Genomic DNA, 13,769 nt, shown 5'->3' on the forward strand with positions numbered 1-13,769 from the left:
ATCGCGAGCCCCCTCCCCTTGCAGTCAGACCTCCCGTTAATTTCGTTCCCAGTGTGCCTTTAGTTCGCTCCTCATTTGCTGGTCCACCTTAATTGACAAACTGTACGCCCAACGAACGGCCAAACGCCACTACTCCTGGCTCCGCCCACCTTCCCAGACGCCGCTCGCTGGCTGAGGTGCGACCCCTTGGAAGGTGTCCCCCTGCCCCCCAAAAAGTCTATATTTATAGTTTTATAATTAAAAAAGAAAAAAAAGCGTAGACATGAGGTAAAAATACCAGCCATAGTTCCTAACAAGGGCAAAAGAGGCGTGTCTTCCTTCTCCCATCCGCCCACCCTGAATTCCCGTTTAGTTTGTCACGGGTCTCTTGACAAAAAGCTGTAAAAAAAAAAAAAAAAAAAAAAAAAAATTGAATGAAAATGGTCCAAATGGCGTCATTGGGTAGTGTGACTATGGACGATTTAAAAACAAAACGATTTTCTCTAAATATTCTATGAGCATGCATTTTTACACTGGATAAAAAAGGGGAGAGTCGGTTATTGGCAGAGGAGGGAGGGACTAGACAGCAGGCGTATTGCATTCCACGAAGCTGATTTAATAAGTGCTGTCTGTGATGTTTGGCAAGCCTGGTTTATATCCATCTACAAGGTTTGCGAACCCATGTTGCCGTGAGTCAGTTACACCATTTTTATTATATTTCTCTTTTTAGGCTGGCATATTATATACCCCAACCTTGCTGCTAACTTGCCACGTAGCCCTTCTCAATGCTTGTAACAACCTTGTAGATAAAACAAAGAGGTATTAAATGTTAGGTAGTATTGTTAAAAAGCAAATGATTTGCGTTATACTTTTGTGCAGCAGGTTTCAATTCCAAGAACAGTGGGATGGGAGGGGGAATTTGTGCTAATGAATGTGCATCTTCTGTCAGTGTATGCGATGTCATCTGCCACCAATTTCCTTCTAATGTTGTAAAATTCTAGCCATACTATAGTATGATTTACAAGTCCAGTAATATGTGAATAAACTTTTGCAAAATGAAGTTTAAAAACGAGTATTTGTTATTTTTATTTACAGGATTTTTTTTTCTGCTACAGAACAACTCCCTTGGTACAATAAAAAAGACGAGTATTTACTTTTCATTGAAAGGTAAGGATCATATTTAGCACATTTTAAAGAATGACAAAAATTACTCATCTCCATCTGAATAAAAGTTTACAGGATACAGTCATTTAAAGATTTATTTTAGAGAATTATCTTGATAATTCTATGGAAACAGGAAAATCCACAGAGGTAATTTGGCATACTAATGTAGACAATTACATACTTAACCGCATTAACTATCTAAACCTGGTCATAGAATACAAGTGGTAAATTAAAATATGAAATATGATAAATTATTCATTTCAAATGAGGAAATGTATTAAAGTTAGATTAATCTTTATAGAATTTGTGCTTTGTCATGTAATCACGTTTTTTAAAAGTTAGGAAACGCTTTTCTGTTTCATAAATGCATTTACTTTTATTGTTTATCTCTAATTGTCAAAGTCTGTGAACATTGCAAAGATAAAACAATATAGAAAATTCCAACAGTAGTAAAAACACAAAATCTTAACCACCAAATGATAAGAATTACTAGCATTTTGATGCACTTCCTTCCAGAAATTTCCTTGTGCATATACATACCTGCCTATTTATGTATACTGCTTTATCTATGTGACACCATATTATGTTTTGTAATCTTTTCATTTAATTTATCAATTACTAATGGCTATATTTTCATGGCAAATGATCGACATCTTATTTTTAAGTAAGTGCATATTCCATGGAAATAATTGCCTTAATTTATTTGACCAGATTCCTGTTATAGGGTGGCCATTTCTATACCATCTCTCCCCTTAAATACATACTATTTTCCTGCTATAATCAAAGTGTCCCTGGATACCTAAAGCATGTATTTCTATGCACTTGTGAAAATTGGTCATAAGATAAATTCCTAGAAATGGATGGCTTGGGGATGATCATTTCATATTATGAAATTATTATTGTATACATATTGCCAAACTCTCTGCAGAATTATTATCACAATTTACAGTTCCAACAGTGCATAAAGTTCATTTTTTTGTTATTCAACTAATATATTTTTGTGCTTGTCATATGCCGGGCAAATGTGGTAGAGGATTGTAGTATAATGGTGAATGAAATTTACTAAGTGCATATCCTTTCGTTGAATAATTTTAATCAAAACATATGTTATAGAAACAATGATTTACGTCATTGATGTTATACCATAAATATTGTTCTGAAACTTACTATTTTTATTTTAAATTATGGAGATTTAAAAAAATGTATGCTCTTATGTTTTAAACTTTGTAGCATTAGGAATTAGTATTTTAGAGTCAGTCATGAGTTAGGGATCCAGATTTTTAAAATATTTATTTTTATTAGCTAGCTAATTCTTCTAGTACCATTTATTTGGTAATCTTTCTATCTCCTGCTTACTTGAAATGCTATTTTGATCACATTAAATAAATTGCTTGGGTCTGTCTCTAAATTCTTTTCTGATCCATTGGTCAGACGTTTGCTGCAAACAACTAATGAGTCGGTTTTAAGATAACTTTACATTTTGTGAAGATGATATGTGTTCATTGATAAAGTCAGGCAATACATTGAAATACAAAGAAGAAATTAAAAGTAACTCAAAATACCACTGAGAAGTAATCACTACTTACATTTGTAATCAACATCTCCAAATTAATTTATCAATATTATGTATTCATATTTCTTAGATTAGTGGTAAGATTGTCTTTTCATATGTTTATGTTTTTTTGAGAATTGTCTATTCATATTTTTTTGCCACTGAATTAAGCAAGAAATTAATCAATGGTGAAATCCTAAAGGTAAAATGATTTTGGCCTTGACTTAAGACAACTATGATTTCTTCAGGAAATAACGCATGATATTGGGCAAATGTGACTAAATTACTTTCAGTTACTTTCATATTAAAATTGGTTGTTTTTTTTTTTTTGGATACTTGTGGGGTTTTTTGGATGCTTTTCAAGGATTACAGATTACTACTTAACCACTCACACTGATCCTGGAAAAGTTTGGAATGGAACATGGAGATGAAAAATAGAAAAAAGCTTACAAAAACATCATACAAAAATAATGTACTAATCAACAATTGTTATTTTCAATTTGGAATTATTTTTTCCAGATATAGGCAATGAAAATGGTTGAAAGTAGATGACTTTTTCTAATCACAATTCTCTACTTTAATTGTGTATACATAGGGATCTTGTAACACACTTATTTTTGTAGCCTTTTTTTTTTTTTTGGTCAATTAGTTTCTTTAATTTTATGTAGTAGGTATCTAAAAGAAAATAAGCTTTTTCTTCATAATCAATTTAATTGATGCATTATATCCTATTTGTTCTACTGTGAAATATAAGTATTAGTTTTATCATATCATATGCTTGTTTTTCTTAATAAGGTTAGATATAAATTATTTGCATAGTGATATGTTTTTTTGTTCAATTAACATGATTTTTTGGCGGGGGGGCTAAATGTTCATGCTTCTACATGAGATGATACATAACACAGAATCTGATAGTATACTCAGACTGAACATAGTACATTAACATCTGTTGATACCTCCCTTAATATGAACATACACACAATCCCTTCCACCACCCACTCCTACCACACAAACACGCAAGGTATATAATGACAAGTGTAGCAGCATTATCTTTTTTTGTAGGTATCTAAGAAGCAAAGCATTGCAAGTTCATTTATTTTTGAATGACTTCCTCCTGTTCTTCTTGGACAAGTTGTATCTGAATACACAAGTGAATTCTTTTTTAAAAACCATTTTATTGATGGATAATAGGCACACAATAAATGTGTGTATCTGTGAAAGTATCACCACAGACAAAATAATGAAAATTGTGTCATCCCTGAAAGTTTCCTCATATGCCTTTGAATCCCTCCTCTTGTCCCTAGATATTCACTGATCTGTTTTCTGTTCCTATAGATGAATTTGCATTTTCTAAAATTTTATATAAGTGGAATAATGTAGTATGTTCCTCTTTTTGCCTGTCTTTGCAGACTTATTTTGAAATTTACCCATGTTGTTGTGTGTATCAGGAGTTTATTTTTCCTGTTTACTGCTGAGTAATTATTCATTACCTGGCAATACTACAATTTGTTGATGGGCATTTTTGTTGTTTTGAGTTCTGGGCTACTACAAATAAGGCTGCTATGATCATTGGTATATAAGTTTTGTATGGACATATGTTTTAATTTCTTTTAGAAAAATACATAGGAGTGGAATGACTGGATCACATGGTAGGTGTATGTTTCACTTTTTAAGAAATTACCTGTTTTCCAAAGTGGTTGTTTTGCATTTCCACCAATAGTGCTCACATTTGATATGGGCAGTGTTTTAAAAGTTAGCCATTCTAATAAGTATTCAGTAGTATTTCATTGTGATCTTAATTTATATTTCTTTGATGACTAATGATGTTGAATACCTTTTCATGTGCTGATTTGCCATCCACATATCTTTTTTGGTGAAGTGACCATTTGTATTTTGTCCATTTAAAAAAATAGGATTGTTGTTTTATCATTAAGTTTTGATAGTTCTTTATATACTCTGGATGCAAGTTCTTTATCAGTTATAGCTTCTGCAAATATTTTCTCTCAGACTGCATATTTTCTTTGCATTCTCTTAAGGGTGCCTTTTACTGTTTTTAAAGAGGAAATGTTAGTAATTTTTATATTGATACATCATATTTTGGGGGCACATGTGATTTCAATACATGAATACAATGTGTAATGGTCAAATCAGGGTAATTGGGATAAGAAGTTTGCAATTTCGATGAAGTCCAGTTTATCTTGTTTTTCTTCTATGGAGCATACTTTGTGTGTCATCTCTTAGAAATCTTTGCTTAACCCAAAGTCACAATTATTTTCTTCCATTTTTTTTAAGTTTTATACTTTTAGGTTTTGCATTTAGGTCTGATACATTTTTGCAAAAAGTACAAGGTATGGATTGAAGGTTTATTTCTTTTGATATAGATATGCAGTTGTTCCAGCACTATTTGTTGAATAGACTGTCTTTTCACCACTGATTTGCCTTTGCACATTTGTCAAAATTAGCTGTCCTTGTATGTGTGGGTCTATGTTGGAAGCTCTAATCTGTTCCTTTGTGTACTGATTTTAATGACACAATCGGTAGTTATCCATTTGTTAGATGCATTTGGGAAAGAATGAGAACAAAATTGTGTGATAACAGAATTTCATTACAATGGAGACAGTCACAGGAGCTGGATCTTCATCCTTGACCTTTCACTTCTGCTCCCAACTATGTGAGATAAAGGGTCAGATAACAGCAGTAAAAACCTAGAAAAGAAATAACAAAAAGAAACATAAATGTTCTTCTATTTTGTGGAGTTGCCAGTGTGTAGATGTCCATAGCCCAGCCACAAGAATGGTAGTTAGCATTATTCAGGAGCACAAATAATGCCCTTGTTTTTCTCACTCCTGATAAAGAGAGACCTGCTTGCAAAAATGGAAATATTGAATAGAAAGTATCTTTAAGCTGTTAATAAATTATAGTTAAAAAAAGAATAGTAATAAAACATTGGTTGTTATGATGTTACTATTATTAATAGTAATAAATAAAACATTGGTTGTTTTATAACATTTCAAACCATAGCAGTGGTTTTCAAACAAAAATATTTCATTTTATACTTATTCCTATAATACAGATATACTCAAATTAACAGAATATGGTATGTTGTTATAGATTTTTATTTTTTAAGGAAACATTTCTGAATTGCGTTTCTAGCAATATACCCTTAACTGCATGGAGTTTAAAAGGGAAGTTTAATGCAACATAAGATAAGGAAAATTGTTTCCCAATTTGGATATTTAACATAGCGCTATTTTTTAAAGAAATTTTAATTGTCATGTAAAAATTACATATATTTTGCCATATAACATGAAGTTTTGGTATATGTATACATTGTTGAATGACTAAATCAAGCATTTTAACATATATATTACCGTAAATACTTATTTTTTTCTGGTGAGAACACTCAAAATCTCTCTTACCTCATTCCTGTCTAACTGAAATGTGTCTTTTTTTTTTTTTTTTTTTTGAGACGGAGTCTCGCTTTGTTGCCCAGGCTGGAGTGCAGTTTGTGATCTCGGCTCACTGCAACCTCCACCTCTCAGGTTCAAGTGATTCTCCTGCCTCAGTCTCCCGTGTAGCTGGGGCTTCAGGTGTGTACCACCACTCCTGGCAAATTTTTTTTTTTTTTTTTTTTTTTTTTTTTTTTTTTTTTTTTTTAGTAGAGACAGGGTTTCACCATATTAGCCAGGATGGTCTCCATCTCCTGATCTCGTGATCCGCCCACATTGGTCTCCCAAATTGCTGGGATTACAGGCATGAGCCACTGCACCAGGCCGTGTTGTTTCTTTTGACAGTATCTCCTCAAACCCCCAACTCCCAATTGTCTAGTAACCACCCATTTTACTCTTTGTTTCTATGAATGTGACATTTTTATGCTCCACATGTGAGATCACATGGTATTTGTCTGTTCCTGGCTTATTTCACTTAGCATATTGTTCTCCAGATTTGTCTATGTTTCCACAAATGACAAGATTTCCCTTTTTAAAGTCTGATCAATACTTTACTGTGTATACATACCATATTTTCTTTATCCATTCATCAACTGATGGACACTTAGGTTTATTCCATATCTTGGCTATTGTACCTAATGCTGCAATGAAAATGGGAGTACAGATATCTCTTCAATGTATTCATTTCATATCCTTTGGATATATCCTCAGTACTGGGATTACTAGATCATATGGTAGTTCCATTCTTACAGTAGTTTTGAGGAATGTCCATACTGTTTTCCATAATGGCTATACTAATCCACATTACCAGCAACAGTTTACAAGGGTTAACTTTTCTCCATATCCTCACCAACACTTACCTTTCGTCTTTTTGATAATAGCTGTCCTAACAGGCATGAGATGATATCTCATTATGTTTTTAATTTGCATTTACCTGATGATTAGTGATGTCAAGTATTTTTTCATATACCTATTGGCGATTTGTATGCCTTTTGAAAAACATCTCTTCAGATCTTTTACTCATTTTAAAAAATTATGTTTTTTAAAATTACTGAGTTGTTTGAGTTCCTTATATATTTTGAATATTTAACTCCTTATCATATGTTTGGTTTGCAAATATATTCTGCCATTCCATACGTTGCCTCTTTACTCATTTACTTCCTTTATTGTGCAAAAACTTTTTAGTTTGATGTGATGCCTTTTGTCTATTTTTGCTTTTGTTGCTAATGCTAGTTTTGAATGTACAAACAGCGTACATTTTTCAAAAATGTAAAACCACATCACGGAAGAATACTTTTACAAGGGTAATCAGGAATTTTTTGCCTGTAGTACTCATCTGAAGAATTTCCATCCTACAATTCAAATAAAGCAAGCCTTTTTATTGCAAGTTTGAAAGTATTTTATTTAATTTTACTATAAAGGAAGAAAAAATCCAAAGACTTTGAAAAATGGACAATGTTTACAATATATATAGATATATCTTATGTGCATATGATATATATGTATATATCTTATATGATATCTTAGATATATTCTGTCTATCTATCTATCTATCTATCTATCTTTGCAATGGCTATTTCCCCATTTTGCAATTTATTTGGACAAAATGGAGGAAGCCCAAAGTGACATTTTCTGCTGATTTTTTTCCAGACTATCCAAATATATTTAATTAATTTCATTAGGTACCTCCTCTCAGAAAAAAAGTAGTTGTTCTCCATTCTGGCAGATGTTTCTATGAAAGTATATGTTTAGTAAGTAGTATAGACTAATGCTTCAGCAAATCTAGTATTGATACTTTCAAGGTGATGATAGCTAACACTTCACAATTCTCTAAGAAGTGAGTAAACAAACAAGATGTCAATGAACTAATTGTTGCTTTTGGTTAAAAAATCTGCTTGTCAGAGAAAGAAGAAATAGAGGCCTACATTCTCTAGATTCATTACTTTGATTTAGCAACTGTCTTAAAACAGGTGTAAACAAAATTTTAAAATTATAATATTGACCACTTTTGTCTGTCTTCTCTTATAAGCAGCATTTGTCTATCTAAAAGAATAAGCATTTTTTTGTTTGTTTAGAGGTAACTGGATACCTTAATTAAAACTGTTTCATTATCTACATCATGAGAATGTGTTTAGCCTTCTTTGTAAGAAAGATTAAATATGACATGACAAGAGAATTACATAAATGATTAGACTATCTGACCAATCTGCTTGTAGCAGCCCCCAAACTGCCCCTTAGCCTCTCAGATATGCTATACATAGTTCTTTGAAAGGTCTTTCTGAAAACACTTATATCCTTGCCCTAATCCCAAATTTTTAGTGATACTTCACTGTCTTGAATCAAACCAGTGTATAAGTACAAGCTGTGTCCTTTACCCTCCAGTGACCTTGGGCACATTTCTTAACTCTCTATGCCTCAATTTCCTCATCTGTAGAATGGGGATAATAATAGTACCCATCTCACAGAGCAATGGTGAGCTTGAAATGACATAATACATGTAAAATTCTGATAACATAGTGCATGTCCAAACAGTTTTTACTAAACTTATCTTCTCCAGGAATAGTTACCCAGTGGAACATAGTTCTTTAACTCTTTCTTTCCTTCAGAGCTTATTTGCTTGGAGTGTATTACATTTTTGTGAGCTTTATGATAAACATTATAACAGAACCACATAGGTCATTTATTGTGTGTACACACACATGTTCTTTTCCTATGTATATTTTAAATTTACCTAGGAAAAGGACCAAGATATTTTCTTATTTATAATCCTCTGTCCTTGCTCAGAGTATTGCTCTGCACAAGAATACATTTAGTACTGTACTAATTAACTTCTTAAACAAATGAACTGGCTTCCTTACAGCAGTACCATTTTTTCTTTTTTTGAGACAAAGTTTTGCTCTTGTTGCCCATGCTGGAGTGCAATGGTGTGATCTCGGCTCACTGCAACCTCCATCTCCCGGGTTCAAGCCATTCTCCTGCCTCAGCCTCCCAAATAGCTGGGATTACAGGCGTTCACCACCATGCCCAGCTAATTTTTGTATTTTTGATAGAGACGGGGTTTAACCATGTTGGTCAGTTGGCCTCGAACTCCTGACTTCAAGTGATCCACCTGCCTCGGCCTCCCAAAGTGCTGGGATTACAGGAGTGAGCCACCGCGTTCAGCCAGCAGTACCATTTTTACTTGCTGTTCAAATAAAATTCATTTTTAGCCTTTAATTGCACTCTAATTTTATTTAACAGTTGTCTCTTAATTGTGCCTGATTTACTAATGTGTAATTGTCATGCAACAAATTACATTAGTTTACTAAATTTTCAGGTTTTAAAGAATTGGTGTTTTACCAACCAACTTCTAAATAGTAACACCTCACAAACTATTAATAGTTAGGAGGACACACAGAGTCTTCAGAAGAAAAATTTTGAAATCTAATGATGATCCACATTTAATATTAAATTAAAATGTCTGTTTATTTAACCCTTTCATTTCATTAGTATTTTCTTTCTAAAGGACAGTATTTTAGATAAGTATTGCAAAATTGCTTTACATATAATGAGCATTTAAAGGAAAATATAGATCAGAGTACCAGAGCTTATTTTAATAAACAGTACTCTATCTCATAAAATGGCTACCCTAATAACCCAGTTACTTTTATTCTTATCAGAATCTGTTGCTTGAATTAAGCATAATCAAACTTGCCACATTGCCTTTTCCTGTCTCATAAATTATGGAAAACAACTTCCCTCCAATTTCTTTATTGTTTGAAAAATACTTTTCTTTGGAAAGTCAAATCATATTTCTATTATAATCATAAAAATTATGCATGCTTGTTTTTTGAGGAACCTCCATACTGTTCTCCATAGTGGCTGTACTAGTTCACTACTTAAAGTGTATAAGAGTTCCCTTTTCTATGCATCATCACCTGCATTTGTTAATTTTTATCTTTTTTATAATAGCCATCCTAACTGGGGTGAAATGATATCTCTTCGTGGTTTTGATTTGCATATCCCTGATGATTAATGATGTTGAATATGTTTTCATATATTTGTTGGCCGTTTGCATGTCTTCTTTTGAAATGTCTATTCAGCTAATTTGCCAATTTTTGAAATGGGTTTTTTTTTGGCTGTTTTGAGTTCTTTGTATATTCTGGATATTAATTCCCTGTTGTATGAATACTTTGCAAATATTTTCTCCCATTCTCTAGGTAGACTTTTCACATTGTTGATTGTTTCCTTTGCTGTGCATAAGCTGTTTAGTTTGATATAGTCCCATTTGTTTACTTTTGCTTTTGTTGCCTGTGTTTTTGAGGTCTTATTCATAAAGCCTTTTCCCAAACCAGTGTCCTGAAGCATTTACTCTATGTTTTCTTCTAATAGATTTATAGTCTTGTGTCTTACATGTAAGTCTGATCCATTTTGAGTGTATTGTTGTATAGGCAGAGAGGTGGGGGAGTCTAGTTTCAGTTTTCTGCCTATGGTTATCCAATTTTCCCAGCACTATTTATTGAAGAGTCTGCCCTTTCCCAATGAGTGTTCTTGGAGCCTTTGTCAAAAATCAGTTGGCTGTAGATATGTGGATTAATGTTTTGATTTTCTGTTCTGTTCTATTGAACTACGTGCCTCTTTTTATGCCAGAAGTCAATTTTTTTAATACAAAAATCAGTTATTGAAACATTTAGATGGTTGGGAAAATGCCAGAAACCAGAGCTTAAGGGCATATCTGCCTTGGTAACTTAGAACAAAAGAGCTGGTTCTCAATATGTAAAAAAGATGTCCATAATAGAGTTTCAAATGAAAAAAGCAAGTTGTGAGACAATATCTATTATTTGCTCCCATCTATATAAAAAAGTATAGATGCATATATGTTCTGTGCATGTGTGTTTGTTTTCATTCACATAGAAAAATGTCTGACAATATATACACCGAACCAGTGAAATCAGATTGAAGGAAAAGCTTTAACTTTGTATTTTCTATTCTGAATCACGTTTTGAATTTTTAAAACAAGCATATATTATTTTTATAATTAAAAAAACAAACATTTAACACAATAATGAATAACATTGTTTGTTTAAATTGGGTCATTATTTGGTCAAAGTTTATACAGAAAGCTGAAATAGTGTTTCAATTACTACTTTTGCAAAAGAGGAACTATCTTTCACTTGAATAGCACTCATACTGGCTGCTCTGAGGTATTATCATATATGGGTGCCATGTAAATTGTACAATTTTTAAAGAGCTTATGCTTTATTCTGATTGGTATTTGAAGCTTTTATGCATCGTTGTTCTTTCCAAAAAGCATGGTATTTTCTTGGGATGACAATAAAGTTATCAGAGGCAGTACTGTCCTGCTCTCCATTATGTTCACAGTCTAAGTTCTGTGAAATTACTTTTAATTGTTTCTTCTTATTTCAAAACTTCTATTCTTTTTCTTATTGACTCGTACAGCTGTTTTTAATGGAGAAAAATGACTCTTGCTTCTAGAGACCTTTCTTACCTGAAAAATGAAGATCGTGAGTTGGCTAACCATTCTTCTGAAAAGTTTATTTTTACTCTTGTAGGAAAAAACTTGAGCCAATTTCTACAAATGTCTATCTTAATTTTATGATATCCTTTTTTCCTGTAGTTTTGTGATGATTTGAAGAAATTTCAACCTATAAAATATTGCTCGATCATAAAATCACTAGGGAGATTGCACTTTTTCTGCAAATGATGTGTACCTAATTTAGCTGCAAATGATCTATGCATGCTTATAAGTTTATAATATGCTTACCAAGAGATTCTGTTTAATTCAGTAAGACTTATGCTTACTGGACTGAAATTTGAAGTCATTGGACCAAAGTTATTATAAAATAGTAAAAAGAAAAATTAATAGGATGCAAATTTCAGAGAGATAGCCATGAAAACCGATAGAATATTCTAATAATTGTTCCCTTCTACACTGTCTTACGTTCCAACCATCATTTCACTGTTTAGACTTCTGTCATTTCCCACATGGATTATTCACCTCACCTTCTTCATTTATCTTCCAACCTCAAGCTCTCTTGCTTCCCTTCCAGCCTACATACTCTGAAATTAACCCTTTTGCCAGGAATGCTAGCTCATGCCTGTAATCCCAGCACTTTGGGAGGCCAAGGCGGACAGATCACTTGAGGTCAGGGGTTCAAGACCAGCCTGGCCAACATGGTGAAACCTGGTCTCTACTGAAAATACAAAAATTAGCTGGGCGTGGTGGCAGGCACCTGTAATCCCAGTTATTCGGGAGACTGAGGCAGAGAATCACTTGAACCTGGGAGGCGGAGGCTGCAGTGAGCCTAGATGGCGCCACTGCACTCCAGCCAGGGTGACAGAGTGAGACTCCATCTCAAAAAAAAAAAAAAAAAAAAAAAAAATTAACCCTTTTAAAATGTAATTTTCTTTATATCATACCCTTCTCTAAAATCTGCAGTCACTTCTCATTTAAAGCCAGAATGACATAGGGATAAGAACATCAGTTTTGAAGATTTAAATTAGAGTTTAAACCTTGGCCTGACACATAGCCTCTAGTAGGTAATTTTATACAACTTAGATTCCAGAGTCAAACATACCCACATTTACCACTTGCTAGCTGTGTGGCCTTGGGAATTTACTAAATTTCACAAATACAAAGTCTTCTTTTCAGTGAAATGTGGAAAATAATACATAGCTATGTCAATTAGGACTTTTTAGTTACAAGCAACAGAAATAGACTCTGGCTAACTTATGTAATATTTAATTCATTGGAAAAATACCAGGGTCTCACAGAATCAATGGGAGGCTAGTGAGTCGGGTGTGGAAACAGGCAGAAACTGAAGTAGCCCTGCAGACCACGGAAACAGGGAATACAACATGGCCCCATAGCCAGAATAGTCTAATCATGATGTTGAGGCTGAGATAAACTGGAACATCAGTCATTTTTAATTCAATTACTTGCCACTTGGCTATAGGAGGATGAGGCTGCTGGTCATAGTCTCACTTGACTACTCTCAAAAGAAAACAAGAGTGCCATGAGACAAAGGAAATGGATTTCCAATATCTAATGTACAAAAGATGCCCACTAGGCATGTGACCCACCAGTCACATAATAGTGCTTAGTAAAGGGCTATTTTAACAAGTCTAGACTCATTTATCAGACATTCATGGCCATTCACTGTCTGGCCTCAGCCTACTTTTCCAAACTTAATTTTCCTCTGCATGAGCCCTGAATTTTCCTATCTGCTTTTCTCACTCAGCTCATTCCCACTGCCTGCAATGCTTTTGACCTGTTACTTTGTAAAAGGATGTATGACTGCACATGCATGTTTAATAGCAATGTAATTCACAATTGCAAAAATATGGAACCAACCTAAATGCCTATCAACCAATGAGTGGATAAAGAAAATGTGGTATATATACAACAGCCATAAAATGGAATAAAATGGCCTTTGCTGCAACTTGGATAGAGCTGGAGGCTACTTTTCTAAGTGAAGTAACTCAAGAATGGAAAAAGAAATATCGTATGTTCTCACTTATAAGTGGGAGCTAAGTGTGAAGATGCAAAGGCATAAGAATGATATAATGGACTTTGAGGACTCGGATGGAGGGGTGGGAAGAGGTGAGGGATAAACAACTACATA

At 33.5% G+C, this 13,769-nt stretch overlaps 1 protein-coding gene across 12 annotated transcripts in view; it reads left to right on the forward strand.

The window, feature by feature from the left end:
• The window catches only part of FAM133A (family with sequence similarity 133 member A), a 38,585-nt gene continuing 24,890 nt past the window's right edge, over positions 75–13,769 (forward strand). For 5 of the 12 annotated variants that reach the window (XM_017029454.2, XM_017029455.2, NM_001171109.2 and 2 more), the window contains exons 1-2: positions 600–668; positions 1,075–1,146. The gene's annotated coding sequence lies outside the window, so the exon portion shown is untranslated. Of the gene's footprint in view, positions 177–599; positions 799–1,074; positions 1,147–4,309; positions 4,345–13,769 lie in introns of those variants that run through there. The other 7 variants (NM_001171110.2, XM_011530929.2, XM_011530925.3 and 4 more) reach the window with 5 other exon arrangements.

Source organism: Homo sapiens, chromosome X (assembly GCF_000001405.40).
Source record: "Homo sapiens chromosome X, GRCh38.p14 Primary Assembly".
Taxonomy (NCBI): Eukaryota; Metazoa; Chordata; class Mammalia; order Primates; family Hominidae; genus Homo; species Homo sapiens.